We start from the raw sequence: 18833 nt of genomic DNA, 5'->3' as shown, positions 1-18833 counted from the left end.
TCCCAAAGTGCTGGGATTACAGGCATGAGTTACCACGCCCAGCCCAAAATCTAGACTTTCAATAAAATATTTACAGTGTCTAACATCCTAACAAAAATTATTTAAAATGCAAAGCATCAGGAAAGACTAGAACCACCAAACTAAGTTGGTAGCAGAGGGGAAGCCACTAAATAAGCCGAATACTCGAAAGACAGGCATTGTACTCATCAGTCATTCCTGAGGGTGGGACCATGGTAAAGCTGAAAATCAAAGAATTGGTTGAAAGCTTTATGAGCACACAGTTAAACTCCTGAATTCTCTCTTTTATCTGTGCGAACAGCCTGTTCCATTCTTGAGCAATACACAGAGCCCAGGGATGTGGTGCAATACTACAGAGGAGAAATTAAGTAAAAATCTACTCCCAAAACAAAGGTAACAAGGTATTTTTCCCTATTCTGCTCTAAAAATGTGGGTGGTCAGGCCACTTCCCCTGACTGTCACTGAGTGGATGTAGGTAAAAGAATACAGACTCTGAGAGAATTAGAGAGTTCTTAAACAAATCAGCCAGGTCTCTTTGATCACAGTGCAATAAAGTCACTAGAAAACCACTCACAATGAATACATGGAATTTCAAACCATATTTTTTGGTGATTTATTTTTCAATATAAGTGGAGAGCCAAGCATAACCATGTAAGTTAGGAAATTCTCTAACTTCACAGCCAGAGACCAAAGTCAGTTGGAAGGTGGGGAGAAAATTCAGAGGAAATACAAAGAAGAGATGCATGTTAAACTTTTGAAAAAAACTCCAAAACTTAAGACTACTGCCCTCAAAGTAATAAGAAAAAGGTAGAAAAAAATAGTTTTCAGATCTACAATATGTGAACATTTTTAGTTCTAAGAGGTCTAACCTAAAAATAATATACTTCGCTTAAAATAGGAAGTCAAGTAAGGAAAAGATGAGGAATTTAGGAAACTGAGGATCCAAACCAGAAGACAGGCGGTAAAGCCTCCCAGGATGAAGGTGAAGAGTCATCCCAGAAAACACTATGAAGTGAGCCTGTGGATCTACCCATTCAGAAGAGGCATTTCTAAGGACAAAAAGACTGAGGCTGAGAGAATATCCAATGTATTTTGCATATTGAGGGACATGGGGAAGTAATGATGACTGGATGCTTAGAATAAGTAAACAAAACTAAAAATATAGTGATTAAAAACTGCCAGGAAAACAAAAATGTTCTGTAAAAGTAAATGCATATGACCTCTTTCAGCTACAAATGATATCACTAAACACATAATTATATAAAATGAATGTTAATTTATTACAAAATTAACCTAATTTTATATTGGGAGAATGATATAAGGGCTTGGTGTGTTTATCTGTGTGTCTGTGTGTGTGTGTTTTGGGGTAAGGAGCAGTGTAAGAAATGTAAATACTTCTCTTCCATAGGATGACATCAATGAATAATGTTTAAATGTGCTTTTTTATTAAGTAATAAATGTAAAATATTTTATTTGGAAATATTGAGATAAATGAAAACACAAAAATAGTTAAACATCTTATATAGGTGGCAGGATGAGTTAGAAATGGAAACGCACTGTAATATTTGACCCTCAGAAGACACTATAGTTATTCTATAAGAAATATTTGCATTATTATAGGAATATTTACATAGTATTTGATGAAAATATAAATTAAAATAAACCAGAATATTAAAACTTGGAAATAAATTTAAAACCAAAACGCCTGGCATTTCAGAAATTTTGGACTACTTCCAATGCATCAGAAGCGACACTTTCCTAAGAACATCCCAATGAGCTTTCAAACAATGGCCATTAGAAAGCAATAGACTGCCAAGTTGTTTTTTGGGGGGGGTCAGGGGAAGGATGTGGTGCAAAGGAAAAGGAAGTGTTGATATCTGATTTTCTTTTGTGCTAATTATAAAATTAGTGTTAAAAATATGTTATTTATTGTAGAAAAATTACCAAAAATAGGTTGTTATTAGGAAAACAAAAAGGTAAATGACCAGTAACTTTGCAAAAAAAGTGCAATTCATGAATTAAACACATACAAATCATAGCAAAATAGGACAGATTTTTTAATCAGACTGGCAAATACTAAAACATTTTATGATATGCAGAACTCTCCAGTGTTTGGGAAGCCCGGCATTCTGAACATCAACCTTTATAGAGAGGGCTTTGATAAGAACTATTAAAATTAAACACTTGATTTCCTTTTGATTAGGGCCAATTTTGCAAGGGATTTATCCTATGGATCCTCTCTATAGAATCCACTGATATATTTGTACAAGGACTTCCATTTCTGTATAAATATTAACACAACAAATTAAAACGCATAGTAACTACAGTGCCTTCTGAGGGTGAAATATTATGGTACATTCATATAATAGAATATTTGCAACCTTTGAAAACAAAATGTGCTAATTTGGATTGGTATCTCAGACATATCATTAAATGGAAAGATAAAATTTCAGAGCATTATATATTACTAAGATATAATCATTTTTGAGAATTTAAATATATATATATATAAATATGTATGTGTAGGTAGGTTTGTATTGTAGGTAGGTTGATATAGAAATGGTAATGCTAAACAATAAGGGAATGTGCCTAAGTTGTGTCAAAAATAAAATTTGAAAAATTCAAAAATTGGGAACAAGTAGGTTGTTGCTCTAACCACAACTCGTCAAATTTTAAAAAGACGAGTACACAAGAAAAAGTATTCTCTTGAGGACATTAAAGCTCAATAAAACAAACATCAAGTGGTCAATATAAAAATACATGAAATATAATGAAATATAAAAATAGGTCAATTACCATTTCAAATTTGCTATGGCCAAATGCAGATTCCTAGTTTCTACCCCAAATTTTCTCCTATTAAATCTTCCTCTTAATAAAAGGTGTCACTATCTCCACACAGTTCAGATTAGAGACTTCAGCAAGATCCTAATAGTTAACTGGCAAACTCTCTTTCAATTAGTACAGTTTTTGTTTGTTATAGTATCTGAGCTAGTACTTCCATATTACTCTTAATTTTCAAAAATATTCTCAATGCCGTAAGCTTCCCATATATAATTTAGAGTCTACCTCTTGATGCCTTTATTGAGATTTAATAAACTAGAGATTAGCTCAGGAAGAATTATAAAGATATGCCTTCGTATTCTTGTACAGGATATCCTGTTCATTTAGGAAGGAACTTTCTACAATTTTCTTTTCATTTTCATGGAATAACAAACAGCATTATGACTAAAGCTTGCATAGTAGAGGCACAGAACTATGTAATAATCTTGGCATTATACATAGGGCCCCGTGTAATCTACCACCCCAATCAGAACACTGTTAAAAGTGAAAGAGCACTATTAACAATTTACAAAGATACGGTTAAACAAGGCCTAGCACAGGCCAACAATTTTTTGCCATGTGGCAGTTGTTTTGAATTTACCTAGGTTTTTTTTTCTTTTTCTGTATGTGGAGGGAGAAGAGGAAAGGTATTGAAGGGAAGTAACTGTATTCTATGATTTTATTTCAGGTAACTTTGTTGGAAGGGTGTTTGATATAGTAGGTAACAGTTACTTGCCCAGTAAAAAATGCATTCAATACTCTTCTGTGAAATAGATGTGCAGCTGAGAATTTTGCAGATGAGAAAACAGGCACAAATATATTTATTTAATACATGTTTGAAAAGAATTAAAACCAAAGTTTTCTCTCCAAGACCAGTGATTTGAACACATCAAAGCATCCACTACACTTCCTACCGTTAATAATCTCAGTGATCCTTGACAAATTGCATTAAATGGCTAAGTTCTTTACAACTACAAGAAGAAAGGCTTGAACTAATTCACCTTTAACATTTTTGCTGGCTCCAAACGCTTACCGTCATATACAGTTATAAGTGTAATGACTTAGGTTCAGTAGGTTAATTTTTATTAATAATAACAAGCAAAGTGATTTGACATTGCTTTTCTCAGCCCATTGACATATTTATATGCTAATGTTAAGTGCCCTTTGAATGCTTGGTAAAGAATTCTTGAAAATCATGATACTTTAATTTTTTTTCATCTTTTGCTTTCTTTTTCAATTATGTATGTATATAAAATATTCAAAGAAATGCATATGGATATATTATATAATGTATTATTATATTAAAATGATCTAAGAATTTATATTAATAACTTATAACTATGCCTAGATATAGAGGAACCCAAGAAAAGTTGTTCAATGTATAATGATCAAATAAATTAGGCCTTGAACAGATGTGTGTGTGTTTCTGTGCACGTCTGTATTTGAAAGGAAGGAAAAAGTGAAAAATCTTTGTCTCTCTAACTCCAGAAAAATATCCCCACTTTTGTTGATAGCCAACATAGTTCTCAACATTAAACCTAAAATATATTTAAAATACATTTACATAAATTGCAGACTATTTCACAATTGTCTTCACTTACAAGAAAACTATGTAAAAAACTACTAGAAAAATATATTGGATAAATTGAAATTACTATGGGAAAATCTCGTCGAAATTTGCAAATTCATTAAAAATGTATCTAAAAAACTAAAATAATGAATGCATGAATTATGTTCATGTATTCAAGAGTACAGATATTTTAAAATTCAAAATATTATAGATTTAAAGAATAATATAAGAATACCTGGCATTGCCTTACAGCTACATCTTAAATAATTGCATTGAGTGACAAACTGAGTTTGAATAATCTTATATATATGTATATATATATAGTTGTGACAAAAGTAATTGTGATTTTTTTCCATTACTTTCAATGAAAAAAACCACAATTACTTTTGCACCAACCTAATAATATATGAATACACACACAGACACACACATTAGCATAGGCAGAGTTCATGATGTTATCCCAGCTAACATAGCAATTAAGTGGCAGAATATGTTTTTGAGACTAGATATATTCAGCACCAAAGTTATTTTCACTCATAATTCTGCACAGTAATCAAAAGTAATTTTGCCAAGAATGGACACTTTATGAAAATATTTTTTAAATGCACCCCACAACTATCTTCATTAAATATTTATTTCTGTGTTTTTAAATAAATGTGTGATTTAAATACTTAAATATATCAAAATAAAGTATATGACTAATTGGGTTTTTCATTTCTCTGTGTTTCAGATGCAGCTGTTCTCTTAGTTACATTGGCAGATTGTGTGTTGTCAATGTTGACTATTGCTTAGGGAACCACAGTATATCAGTGCATGGCCTCTGCCTGGCCCTTTCGCACAATTGTAACTGTAGCGGTCTGCAAAGATATGAAAGGAACATCTGTGAGATAGATACTGAAGACTGCAAATCTGCGTCCTGCAAAAATGGAACAACTAGTACACATTTAAGGGGATATTTCTTCCGCAAGTGTGTCCCAGGATTTAAAGGCAAGTTTTTTTTTTCCTGATAAATTAAATTTTCTAGTAAATAATGTTGTTAATATATTTATTTGATATATCTCAAATATATCTCAAATGTGTCTATTGATTGGTATTGTTGTCTCATTTCTTATTTGGCAAAGTAAAAAAAAAAATGCATTCACTTGAATAATAGGATTGCTTCTTTGGGCAATTTAATCTGACTACACAGCCTTGCTCATGCAAATAAGACTAATAAGGTCAGGCTGAAGCATTGGGAATATGATGGTATATGTCAAAGGTCTGAAGGGAAAAACAGGCAGCCATAAGCTCCAAATAATTTTGCCTAAACAGCTTAGTACTGCATTTCAACCTTTTGTTTGGCTGCATAAGCACATGGAGTGACAATTTTTTCTAGTTTAAGAATAAAATTTGGTTTCAGTATTGTCTAGGTCAGTTTGATGCCGTGACGTTAATAACATTTAAGAAAAAGTGAAGTCACAAACATACTATATTCTCTGTACAGTCATAGAGAACAAGATTCAGTGTAGTAATAAGGCAGCTTTTAAGGTTAAATATCAGAAATTAAGCATTCAAATTTAATTACCTGACATTTTTATGATTGGTCTTACATTGATATAATTATTTATAGTAATTTCAAACTTATTATCATTACCTTATAAAATCAGAACAGTGGCCATACAGAAAAACAATTACATTATCACTTATAAAACAAAATTATTTAAGTTTTGTCCAGTTGGATTTTCCATTTTATTAAGCAGACCCAATTCGAAAAGTTATTTGGATTTTCATCGTAACATGAAAAATATTTTCCCTGCTTGGTATTTAAAGTAATATGTTGAAGGTTTTGGAAGCAATTTAAAGATAAATTCCAAAAATGGAAATGGTGATATCATTGGAATAAATGTATAGCCATCCAGATTAGCTTTTTTAAGGCAAAAATAAATTTGAGCGCAAAAATTCTGGTAAGCTTGCTAAAAAGTTGGTCATATTACTTCACATTCAAACATATTCTAAGTAAAAATAAAATTGCATAAATGTGCTAGCATTGTTAAAATATAGGTGTCTGTCTTAGAAAATAGATATATATCATTTCTTTAACAATCTTCCAAATATCAGTAAATATATAGTTAAGCAGTAATTTTACATAAAATAAAGAATGAATTTAACTCTGCATAATGCCATTACTAACAGAATATGTAATTTGCCATAATCCTTTTGCATGGCTAAATACATATGTGTATTTGCAAACATGATCAATGAATCATCTATTATTTTTATATCAACTCTATATTGGTTGTACGTTATATGATCATTAAATATATATTGTGTATAAACTATATAGTTTTACCACATATATACATAATACTTATTACTGGAATATAATATAAAATTGGTATGGCCTACTTCTCCAGGTGGGGTTAAACACTATTATGTTTCTTTCACTTTTCAAATTAAACCCAACACAAGCTTCACAGGCCCATATTATAAGCAAGGCCTGTATTTTCTATTGTGTCTTTTTCTTTCCACTGAATTATAAAAAATCCTCTGGCTTTCCTCAGTTCAGTCCTACTTCTAAACTCTTCACACAGTGAGAAGTAAAGGAACTGATCTGCCTAAACTTTCCCAGGGATGCAGAGTTAATCCCACAAAAAGTGGAATCTTTTGGGGGCAGTTTAAAGTAGATGCCCCTCTTTCTCTCCAGCCCCCTTCTCTTCCTCTATCTGGTTCCTTCTGTTAGTTGTATCTCCCTTCATCTTGAATTCTTCCCATCTGATTTCTCCGTTTCCACCTGGTTTCTCTCCCCATCATATGATCCTCCTCCTTCCCTTTCTCCCTTTCCATTTGATTTCTCCTTGCTGTCTCTTTTCCCCCCTCCATTTGCTTTCTCTCCCTCCGTCTCCAAACTCATGTGCTTTCTGAAGGCATTTGTTAACATTTTAAAAACAACGTAACCATGGCTTTTTATATCAAGTATAATCACCTTTTATTTCCCTGATCCCCATCACATTTTTGGAAGTATTAGCCTTACGGTCAAATTTCCAGATTAAATGTCAGTCTCTGTATCTCCAGCCCAGAGGATCACAAACGTTATGTTAGTAGAATCACCTGGAGGTCTTGTTACAACACCAGTTATTGGCCCCACGTTAGGAGTTTCTCAGTTGGTAGCTCTAGCGTCCAGCATGTCTGGGGTGATCCTTACACTGCTGATCTGTGAACCACTTTAAGAAAACTGTTCTAAACCCAGTAAATTATGTTAATGAAGAGGAGTTGTATGGATCCTAAGATGTAAAATTCACTTCTGAGTGTGAACTACCATGAAACACAGCATGAGGAAAGCAGCTAGTCCAATCTTCTCTGCAGAAAACCACTAATCTCTGGAGTTCTTGAAGAAGCTGATACATTCATTTGGTAAGGCCATATGCTTGAGTGAATCCTACAGGATTTAAAACTGATTCCAATCAATTTTCTGAAACTCTCCAAATATTTTTAACTCTGGAAATAATTTCAAAGAATGTGTTTTTTCAGGTTATAACCTTTTTGCAATTCCAGTGTTATTTATATCTATAATATTTTAGTAATGAACTCAAAATTGATTTTTTTTTTTTAGTTAATATTCTTCCCTCATCCTTTTGACACTTTCAGCACTAGTATTGTCTAAAATTTTTACATGGTCAAAATAAGACCATGCAAGTTTATCGTCCTTCTTGATTTGAGTAACCATCTTCTCATCTTACTTTTCTTATGATTGTCTTGATTACCAGAGAAGTCTAGGAAGTTCTCCTTTAACCAATAGGATTCAAGTTCTTAGACAATATCAAGCCCAGCCGTTTCCTGTTTGAGATGAGACTGAGATAAGCCTTATTGATAGACTTGTTAGTTTTCATCTAATTTCCATGAGGCTGCTATCCTAAAGCAAACTCCTTTTCTGATACAATCTTATATATTATAAATTTGACTTGCAAATCTTTATGACTCTGTTCTCCAAAATGCCAACCAGACAACTTTATTCTATTTTTAGGTCTAAGTTACCTTGGCAACACAAAACTGTTTAAATTCCAGGATTAATTTCTTTTCCATAGGCCCCTTTCCTTTCCTTGTCTGCTAATTTTTATTTCTGTAGAAGTGTACTAGTATGTTTCAACCACGTTTGCATTTCAGCTGGAACCTAGCTCCCACTGTACAGTGCCAGTTATTGATGCCTTATTTTCACTGTTGTACTATATTCCTTCAGGTTATAATTTCATTTTCCCCAAAGCAGTCTACAAGTACCTAAAGGGGGTACTTTATATACAAAGGAGTTATATACAAAGAGAGAAACTTCTAGGTGCCTTCGTACTTCTAGAACACTCACTGGAGTGATCACACTGCCCAAGACTATCTCGTCCACATTAGAATTGAACTACTTCATGTTGGGTGTTCAAAACTGACCCAGTTAGTAAGATTTTTACCCTTGATTGCTTCCTTCGACATTCCAGTCTCTATACTTTGAATAGACATTTAATTAACCTAGCCCTTATAATCACCAATTCTGTTAAGACCTCATGGATAGTTTTACAGAAAACAAATTTATAGTGTAGCCTATTTTGTGTTCTGATCTTTTAAAAACACCAATGCACAAATAACATTGATTTTATATCTTATGTAATTGCTTTTATTTTGTATATATTTTCTTTTGTAATTTATGCCTAAGAGGAGAAAGTAGGAGATATTATATAAGCCCGTTGCTTGTATTTATGGTTTTCCCCAAAATTCGCCATGATATTGTAGTCTTCCTTCAGAAAATATTTTGTTTTTAGTCACCGGGGTTGTGCCTTAAATTCACTATGTTTTTTTGTTGGTATCACTTATCCCAGTATATTCTGTCTCTCATGGAGCTGCATGTACATCCCTCTCTTCATAAAAATTCCATTAACCTTTTGTATCTGCTCAGGGCTTTCAAGACATATTGTAGGATCACGTCAAGCTCAATTTCATCACTCTGCACTATATTCTGACATACTGGCTCTTAAACCACTCAGCTAGTGGCTTAAGTTCTCTGATGTAGGTAGAAGCAGGATCCTACTCTTTCGATGTACTGAGAATTTAGTTCTTCATGAAAATGAGCCTCATCTTTGAAGCAACATAACTCTTTTAGTAGACTCCAAAGATGAGTCTCCACAGAGCTGATCTGTCTCAAGGAGTATTCATCCCTAAATTCCCAGAGATGACCTCCTGGAGCATTTTCCTTTAGTTTTTGTCAACTTCCTACCCATTCATGTCATGGAAAGAACAACCTCCCTTATGAAAGGTTAACAGTGGATTTCATGTACATATGTTTATAACCTCCTTTTTTTAAAATAACACATGAATGTTGACCATCAGTGTATATCAATAAGATAAATATACAACCTCACTTTTTATGGCTTCGAAGTATTTATGTAACTGCATGTACCTAACTTGAAGAAAATTGCTAAATCAAAAAAAACATGTGAGTGGTTGTTGATTTGGTACAACCAAATTCTCTGTCCTCATTTACACTTCAACCAACAGTGTGCAGGAGGACCATTTGGTTTACACATTCACTATGCCAATTATTAATCATTATGGTTTTGACTTTCCTCCACTCTTAACATATCAGATTATATCTCATTTTGATTTTCACTTCTTGCAGCAGCAAAAAAAGATTGAGTGCTTACAATGTGAAATTTTTACAGGCTCTTTAACCATGTTTTCCTGAGAAGTGTATCTTACTTAGTTGCTGTAGTGCTTTATAATTTAAAGATACAACTTTTCTTATTATTTCTAGAGAGAATTACATCTGCAAATAAAGGTAGTTTTTATTTTCTTTTTATTATTTACTTAACTAATATTATGTTGTTGTTTAATACCATTTGATCAAATTTCTAAGACAAAGTACAATATTAATGGTGAGAGTAAACACCCATTTTTTTTCTTCCTGAATTTCAAAGGACTTTAGATTTCACTATCATTAAACATGGTGATGGCTTGATATTAAGGAGATGATAAATAAGATGATATCATTTCTAATTAAAACACATTAAATAGAAATAGAAGGGGAAGTAATAATTTAGCACAACAGCTGTTTAATAAACTGACATTTTACTTTCATAATTTTTAAAGATTTTGCAAATTGCACACACTGATGCACTAACAATTTTGGTCTTTTAGATGCGTTTATTAGAAGTTTTGTTTATGGCCTTACAATCTTGTGCTGACTTTATACAAAGATATGGAAAGTATTTCTGACTCTAAACTCTAAAATGTTTTAAATAAAGTGAGATAAATCATAATGGTTGCAAACATTTTAAAAATTCCTTAGGATTTGCTAAGAATTTGCTAATGTATATTACTGGAGTTACTTATAATATTCACATTTAAAAGTATAATTGTCATAGAATAACAATTCAATGATATGCAAAATTCTAGCTGTTCCAATCAAAAACTAATAAAACATGAGAAAAAAATATAGTCATAAAATCAAAATCAATTTTTTTCATCTTTTGTATTTTCTCTTATAATAGTTAGACTTTTCTGCATATCATTGTTATTTTCAAGAACTTATTTTCATAGATTTATTCTCAAGGTTTTCTCTGATTTTTGTTTAATACTTTATATGTTTAATGACAGAGTCCTTTCTCCATCTTTACTAAACTTTACAATGCTTTGTTCTTTGTGTTCTTTAATTTTTGATGTTTTGTTAACCCTTAGTCAATTTTTTATTCTGTCTGTTGTTTAATAATAACAAGTTTGGAGCTACAAATACTTTGGGTATTGCTTTGCCTGTATTCTAAAAATATTAAATTAAAGTTTCTTATTTGTACTATTTTCTAAATAGATTTCAGACTTGATTTTCATTTCCATTTATGAGTAAATATGGCATTTGAAAGAAAAGACTTCTAAATTTACTTGGCAATACTTTTTACTCTTTTGGTACTAATTTTCAGTGTTAATGTATCATTAATAAAGAACATGATTACTAATCATTGCTTTTTGGTATATTTTTGCTCTTAATTTTTTTGAAAAATACAGAAATGTAAAATTATTTCTTATTGTTCTTCCAATTGTAGAGAATTTCTAGCACCTACCAAGAGGACTGAAAGGAAGTGTGCTGAGAAAAATTCCTAAAGTTTGGCAGAAATACTGCTATGATTTGTTAGTAATGTGTGAATTTAGGAAGGAGTTAGGAATGTTGGATTCCTATGACTCATCTGTTATGCTTGGCTTAGCATGTGATAATTTTTGAATAGTGCTTGGATATTTGGAAGAAATTTACCTTACGCATATACTTCAAAATGTCTTTTTCTGTGGTATATATATCAGGCTGGGGGTAAGAATTATCTGAATACATTTTTCCGAAAGCAGTATTTTGATGCCACCTCAAATATAACATATCCACATATTTGGGAGTAGTCCTCAAGAAAAAACTCAGTGTTTCAATCTATATACCATACTCCCATGTGGTTTTAAAGTGTAGCTAAATGTTGGAAATTTGACTATATAACATTTACATCTATTTATAATAAACATAAATGTATATACATACACACAAACCCAATATAAATGAGTTAGAGGTCCTCATGCCAGTTGGTTTTAATAAGTTTCAAGTAGTTCTAAAATTTTACCTTTTAAATTTTGAGCTATATTATTTAGCATATACTTAAAAGTTTCTTATTTTAATCCATATTTGTATAAAATAAACATATTTTCTTATTTAAATCTATTTATGGGATACTACTTTTGCCTTTATCTTTTATTTGGAGACTTCACCTACTTTCATTTTATGTAGTTAGTTTATATTAAGGTTTAAATATATGCCAACACTATTTGTTTTTTATTTGTTTCATCCATTCTATGTTATATTTTTCCTTTTTATGTATTCTTTTCAATTGATTATTTTGTCTGTCCAATTTCCCCTTTATTGATATTAACACTTACCTTTACTACTCTTTAAGTGCTTAACCTAGGGATTGCAATACTTTTAATTAGCTTACCATATTTTAATAGAAATTGGTACTTGTTACACGTTCCAGACAAGGTAAAAGTCATAAATATTTAACCACATTTAATCCCCTTCACATATATGTGCATATGTATTATTCCATATATCTTTAAAATAGCAGGAGACATTGTTATCATTTTATACATCCAATATTAGATTTACTCACATTGTACTATTTTATTGCCCTTATTTATCTCCTACATTTGTGAAATTCCAACTAGTGTCTTTTGCCATATGTATGGTAACTTTTTAAGCAGCTCTCGTGTGTTGAATTCTCCATTCTCTAATTACCTCTTTCTTTCACCTTTATACTTAAAAGATGTTTGATGGTAGGAGGTCAATTTTAATTAAGTAAAATGAAAGAACTGTACCAAATACACATGTGTGTGCTTGTATCTATGAACACATATATACATATGTGTTTGTTTGTATCTATCTCGTATTCTTAGTCCTATAATAACTTTGACTCCTCTTTGTCCATTCCTATATTTTTTTAAAGCACACCATGGTACAAAGAATTCAGTGGAAGACTCAGACAGCTATAATACCAAATATTTCCCATATTTTTTGTCAGAACTTCAGCTATTCACTCCAGTTCTTTATTTATAGGATTCCCTCAGACATAATATGTTTGTCAATATGTTTGTCCCTCAGACATAAGTTTGTCATTTCCTACAGGTCCATTTATACTCCTTACATTCTGAAAAACAGGAAATAGAAAGAGGGCTAAAGATATTTAACGAATTTAAAAAGTCCAATATTTCAAGATAATTATTCTGCTACATAATTTTCATTTTATTTAACAACTAATGCATATTTAGTCCTATTAGTAGAATACTGTTCTATACAATGTCTGATGAAATTATTGATGAAATCAGGGAAATAAAGTTGGGCATTATATTTTTGCCTACTTTGATCCCTGGACTTTGAGTGTACCGAAGGCTAATCTAACCAAATAGAATATAGGAGCTCTAGAAACTTTTTTGAAAGGTAATATAAAAGAAAAGGTTATGGGAGACAGAACAGTTTTTCTTCACTTTGGAAGATTCTTATGAGTCCTTTGTGAATTTAAATATTTAAACATCTTCCCATAAAAAGGCAAAAAAACAAAAATTAAGCAGAAAATTTGTGACTTTTTAAATGGCAAAGGAATTACAGACTCATGGAAAGTAGTGTGTGTTATTATAATTAGATGGCAGCTCTTTAGTACAACACGTTTTGTTTCGTTTTTTTTCAGAATCTGATTTAATTCTAAATTGGTTTCTCCCAAACTCATTAAAATGCAAAAGCTATACAAAACATTGTTTGCATAATTATAAAATAATTTACTAAATGTTGCATTTCAGGAAGGAAAAGGTTATGTGCAGGAATTTAATTAGTGATCTGGCAACACAAAATATTTGATGTTGGTTCTAATTGTATGCACATCTGGGATTTTCTCCAAAAGAACTACATTTTTAAAGGTTAAGCATTTATATTAAAGTGTTATAAAATAACCATCTTGGGAAGTGACCCCAAGGGAAATGACCAAATATATTCATCATAACATGAAGTATTTGTAATGATATGTTTAGCATTTATGCTGAGCCCATTTCTACACTGTGGAGTGGTCCATAGTAAATGGTAGTAAAATTATAGGTGTGAGCACCATTCATTCTGTACCAAAGTAGCTAAAGGAGACCTGGTTTCTGATTCTGTTTCATCTAAATATGAAATATCTTATTTTTTTTCAATTTTCCCATTATTGGTGTATAGACATTCTATTTCCCCTCTGTATACCTGCCCTACTTTACTATTAGGATAAATACTGAAAGGATCTTGAGCTTCCTGCGGGAAATCCAATATATTAATATAAGGTGATAACACTACTGAGCCCAAGACTTTTATAAGCTGCTCCCGGCTTTACGTAATTTAATTTTCTTACACATTCCCATTGAAGTTAAAAGAATCCCATTAAGAAATCAATCAACAATACAGCACCCATACAAATGAACAAATACAAAACTAAAACCCCATTCACTACTTTTAAAATTACTACTCTTCAATTAACTGCTTTTAAATCAAATATCAAGCAGCCCAAGACCACAGATAATTTTAAAGTGTGGGTTTTTAATTTTAATGTGAATTTACACAGCATAACTAAGTGGCATATCACTGAGACTTTATTTTGATAGCTTGTTTTTCTTCCCTTTTTATTCAGAACATTTTTAGTACTCTCAAAGAAAGAATTACTGTTATTCTTTGGGTAGAATTTTTGGTATTCATTTCTATAACTTATGTACATGGATAATATAGTTTTATCAACATTAAAGACATCACATGTTAAATTTTGAAGATATATGTATATTTCTGTGGGTTACAGGTCCTGATTTTTAATTCAACACATGTAGAAATGTATTTTTAAAAATTTAATCAAGAATCTGTCTTGATGGATAGTCAATGACTTTTGCCTGTGTTATTAGAAAATGTAATATTTGAGCTGATCCTTGAAAGATGAATGGGATGAAACTGAGTCTTCCAACACTCCATGAAATGCAAGGTAACTGTAAACAAGAAAGAAGTGAGAGAAAGACAAGTCTACATTTGGCAGAGATTGAGATAATGTATAAAAGGCCAGCTTAATTTGGAAGTGTGATATATGCATACTGTATAATTATTTTAATTATCAAGCAACTGAGAAATAACTAAATGAGAGTAAATGAGAATAGAGATTAAAATGAACAGGTCTAAGTATGAAAATGACACATTTTCAATGAGAATTAATTTTCTGGCTGCAAATTCTAACATAATTTCTGTGTTTAGATTTTTTAAGGCATAGTATGGAAGTGATTGGTTAGAATTTCCCTCCTGTGACCTAGTAGCTTTGCTAACCCAGAAAAATTTTGGTGTTAACCTAGGCAACCTCACGATGGGTGAAGGCCAAAATAATCAGTGAACTACCAATTTGGTCACCCTCCAGAATACTGATAAAAGTTGTGTAAGTTCCTACAATACCTGGGGAACTTTTTCTCCTGATTTTTTATACCATTATAAGTTAAATGATATAGTTGTCAAATTCCATTCTCTTTCTAACAGATACCAGGTTAGCTCTGCATTTATAATTCAATGTGATATGACAGTAATATTTCTCGATTTGTACACTTAGGACATTTTCTATCATTTAATACAGTCATATTTGTTGACACTATACAATTTATATTTTTGTAGTTTTTAAAATTTATCTGAAAATGTTATTTTGCAGCTACATTATATAAACAGCCTCCAAAAGCTGCTGAAGGAAAGTACCTTTCCAAAATGATCTTTTTTATGAATAGAAGATAGCATGGCTTTTCTTGCTGTTAGGGCACTTCTTAAAAGATTTCTAATCTATACAATTTTCAAAAATGCTGACTAAATGTAAAAAGCATTATAAAACAGCATCCAAAAATGCAAGAGAGGAAAGATACATTTTTTGCATTTCTCAGAAAACTAAGTGATTTCTCTATCTTTTGTTATTTTTGCTACAATGTAAAGGTGATACTGCCCTGCTCTCATAAATGAAAAGTTGATTGTCTTTAATTTAAATTCCATGGAAAATAGAAAAAAATGCAAATTATTCATAGTAAAATAGCTGCAAAATACAATTGCAGAGTAAAATTTCACATAATTAGGCCACAAAATGTAGCAGAAAATAACACAAATTTAAACACAATCCTCAAAGGGTTTATTTGATGTTTTAAATTTTAACATATATTTCTCAATTTTGTAAAAGATACCACGTATCAACAATCACTTTGAAAGCTTCCATTACATGTCATTCTTTTTTCTTTTTTTTCAGGGAAGACCTTTAATAGAAAAACATAGCCAGAAAACATCAAACACTTACAATAAATATGCACATGTTTAAGAAAGAAGGAAAATAGATTTGTTTGCTTTTAAAGATATTTTAGTGTTTTTATTTCATTACAAATAGAATACCTCTTGTTACATGAACACTATGTAAACATGCAAATTAATCAGATGTTATAAGTTATAGGATGATCTAAGCTTATTGCTTCAAACAATCTTTCAATAAGTTAGGTATTTTTAAATACGCTTCAACAAAGTTATGTATTATGGATTCATCCATCCATTCATCTGTTAACAACCTGTTTATTCTTCCATACTTGTATTTACCTTGGCATAAGGTATCAAGTATAATGAGGCCATAGTGATTAATTATACATTTAAAACCATTTAGCTATGTGGTTCCTTTTTTATTTATACACCAAAAATGAATGATGATTGGAGTTATGTTAGTTAAGTTCAAGCTGGATAGATCTGTAAGCCAGGATATTTTCAGAGAAGCATAGGTGGGTTCTCATTATATAGCATTAGATAATATTCACTATAATAGATATTAACTTTTCAATTTTAATAGTTATAAGCATACATGGTAAAAATAGTTTTTAAAATGATATTTTTTCTTATGGTATACTTAACAGCTTCTGACTTTTTAAAAATCACCTGCAAAAAAAAAGTAGTAGCTTTTTTCATATGGCAACTGAGACAGGCAAAATGTATTATTAAAAACAAAATGGCAGAAGCAGGATATTCACATAAGTTATTTTTAGCAAAATAAAAAGCACAAAATTTGGCCAGACTTCTTTTTGAGAAGATAGATTTTCTGTTATCTGGTAGCCATTAGCTTCCCCAAAGTTTGTGGCTAGGGCATTGCGCAGTGTACAACATGAACCTAGCAACAGAACAGAGGCTAACTGGAGCCCACAGCCACACAGGAAATGTGCCATTTCAATTCTTGGCAGGTGAGAAAGCAATCGCTCCAGAATCTTTCAACTCTTCCAGGAGTACTGGTGCATCGCTTTGATGGAAAACGTATATAACATTCAGTCAATCGAGTTTAGATCACGTAAGATTTTAATAGTGGCCACAGAAATGGCAAGAAGATTAAAATAAAAATAACCTACTATTTTGTAAGCAATTATTTAGATTGTTCAGATTTCTGCTCATACAAATTAATTCACTTAATATACAAAGCTCAAATACAGCCCATAAAAATTTGCAACATAAACCAAAATAGAAACTAATATTGACACTGAAAAGTATAATTCTTTATGAGATCTGCTAGAGATGAGAAAGCTAGCTTGACACAAATGTTTTCTTAAAAAGGCATAGATACTGTGAAAAAAAGGTTATGAAATGAGACCACCGTAAAAATGAATAGCCACTTGAATAAAATTGGAGAAAAGTAGAGTTAACAGAGTAACTCTATTTTACTATTGGCATAGTAAAATAATCTCCATTAAAATCAGTAAAGAATGGGATTAGTGTTACAAATGTCAAGTCTATAATATGAGAAAGGAATTTAGAATATTTTAAATGTAAAAAAAATAGAAAAAATAAAAGATGTTATTAACAAATAGTCACGACAATGAACTGCCACCATATTGATAAATGTTGCTACTAAATGCTAACAAATAATAATCAAAAGTAAGATATAAAACTAATTTCTAATCCATATAAACAACTGATATTATCATTTGGAATTATAAAATAAATATCAATGTATCTGGTTTAACATCATGAGCTGAAATATTTTTTAAAATAAAAATAAAATTATTACAGAATGAGACTTGTTCTTTTTAAAGTTCAGTGCCAAAAAGATCAAGTAGAACACTAGCTATGGAGTTCTGATAGGAAAAATATTAACTAACAAATAATATTGAGTCATATTGTTTTAATTTTGTGGGAAAAAAGAAAAATTAGTATTGCTTTGGGTAGTTGAAAATGTAGTATATTAACAAATATCAAATTTTTTAAATTATGCATTTTGCAAGATGATAGACATGTCTAATAACATATAAGCAGTCACTAAAATGACAAATTTTAGCATGTGGATGTATATATATTTAATTTTGCCTACCTGTAAAATGAATGGCATTTGGAGAAAATATGCTAAATTACATGAAACTTTTTGAGAAATGAAACAATTTAAGAAACTCTGCAGACTGAGCCATTTAATTGTACAAATAAGACCAATAATCAACAGTATACAAATGCTACTGTATTTATTAATAAAAACATTATAGTTATAGAGCAATGAAGTAATACTAACAAAAGCATTGTACCTAGAATATAAAGTTAAAATGTGCACATGTCTTTATGGAAAGCCATTATTAGTGAGCTATTTTGTTAATATCTGTGACATCAATTATTGACAGTAAAAATGTATTATCTCATTCGGCCCCAGAAAGTATGGAATGTTTACAGTGCTTATGAAAAATTGGCTATATTTTCCAAGTTAAAGTTTTCTGTTCTATAATCATGTAGTAAAATTTGAAAATCAGCATTGCACACAATAACATACTTAAAAATTTGCTCACGTGTTAACAACTTATTTTTGTTTTACTTTTAAAACTATTACTATTTTTTCTACTTTCAGACATTTTAAGAGCCAATGTTATG

General features: G+C 31.0%; 1 protein-coding gene across 2 annotated transcripts in view; it reads left to right on the top strand.

The window, feature by feature from the left end:
* Positions 1 to 18833, top strand: part of EYS (eyes shut homolog) — a 1987247-nt gene that overhangs the window by 405969 nt on the left and 1562445 nt on the right. For both annotated transcript variants that reach the window (NM_001142800.2, NM_001292009.2), the window contains exon 12: positions 5139 to 5395. In NM_001142800.2, the coding sequence (NP_001136272.1) occupies positions 5139 to 5395 (257 nt within the window). The remainder of the gene's footprint in view (positions 1 to 5138; positions 5396 to 18833) is intronic.

The sequence above is a fragment of the Homo sapiens genome, chromosome 6, assembly GCF_000001405.40.
Source record: "Homo sapiens chromosome 6, GRCh38.p14 Primary Assembly".
NCBI lineage: Eukaryota > Metazoa > Chordata > Mammalia > Primates > Hominidae > Homo > Homo sapiens.
The sequence above is the reverse complement of the archived record's forward strand: the minus strand, read 5'-3'. Positions and strand labels throughout refer to the sequence as shown.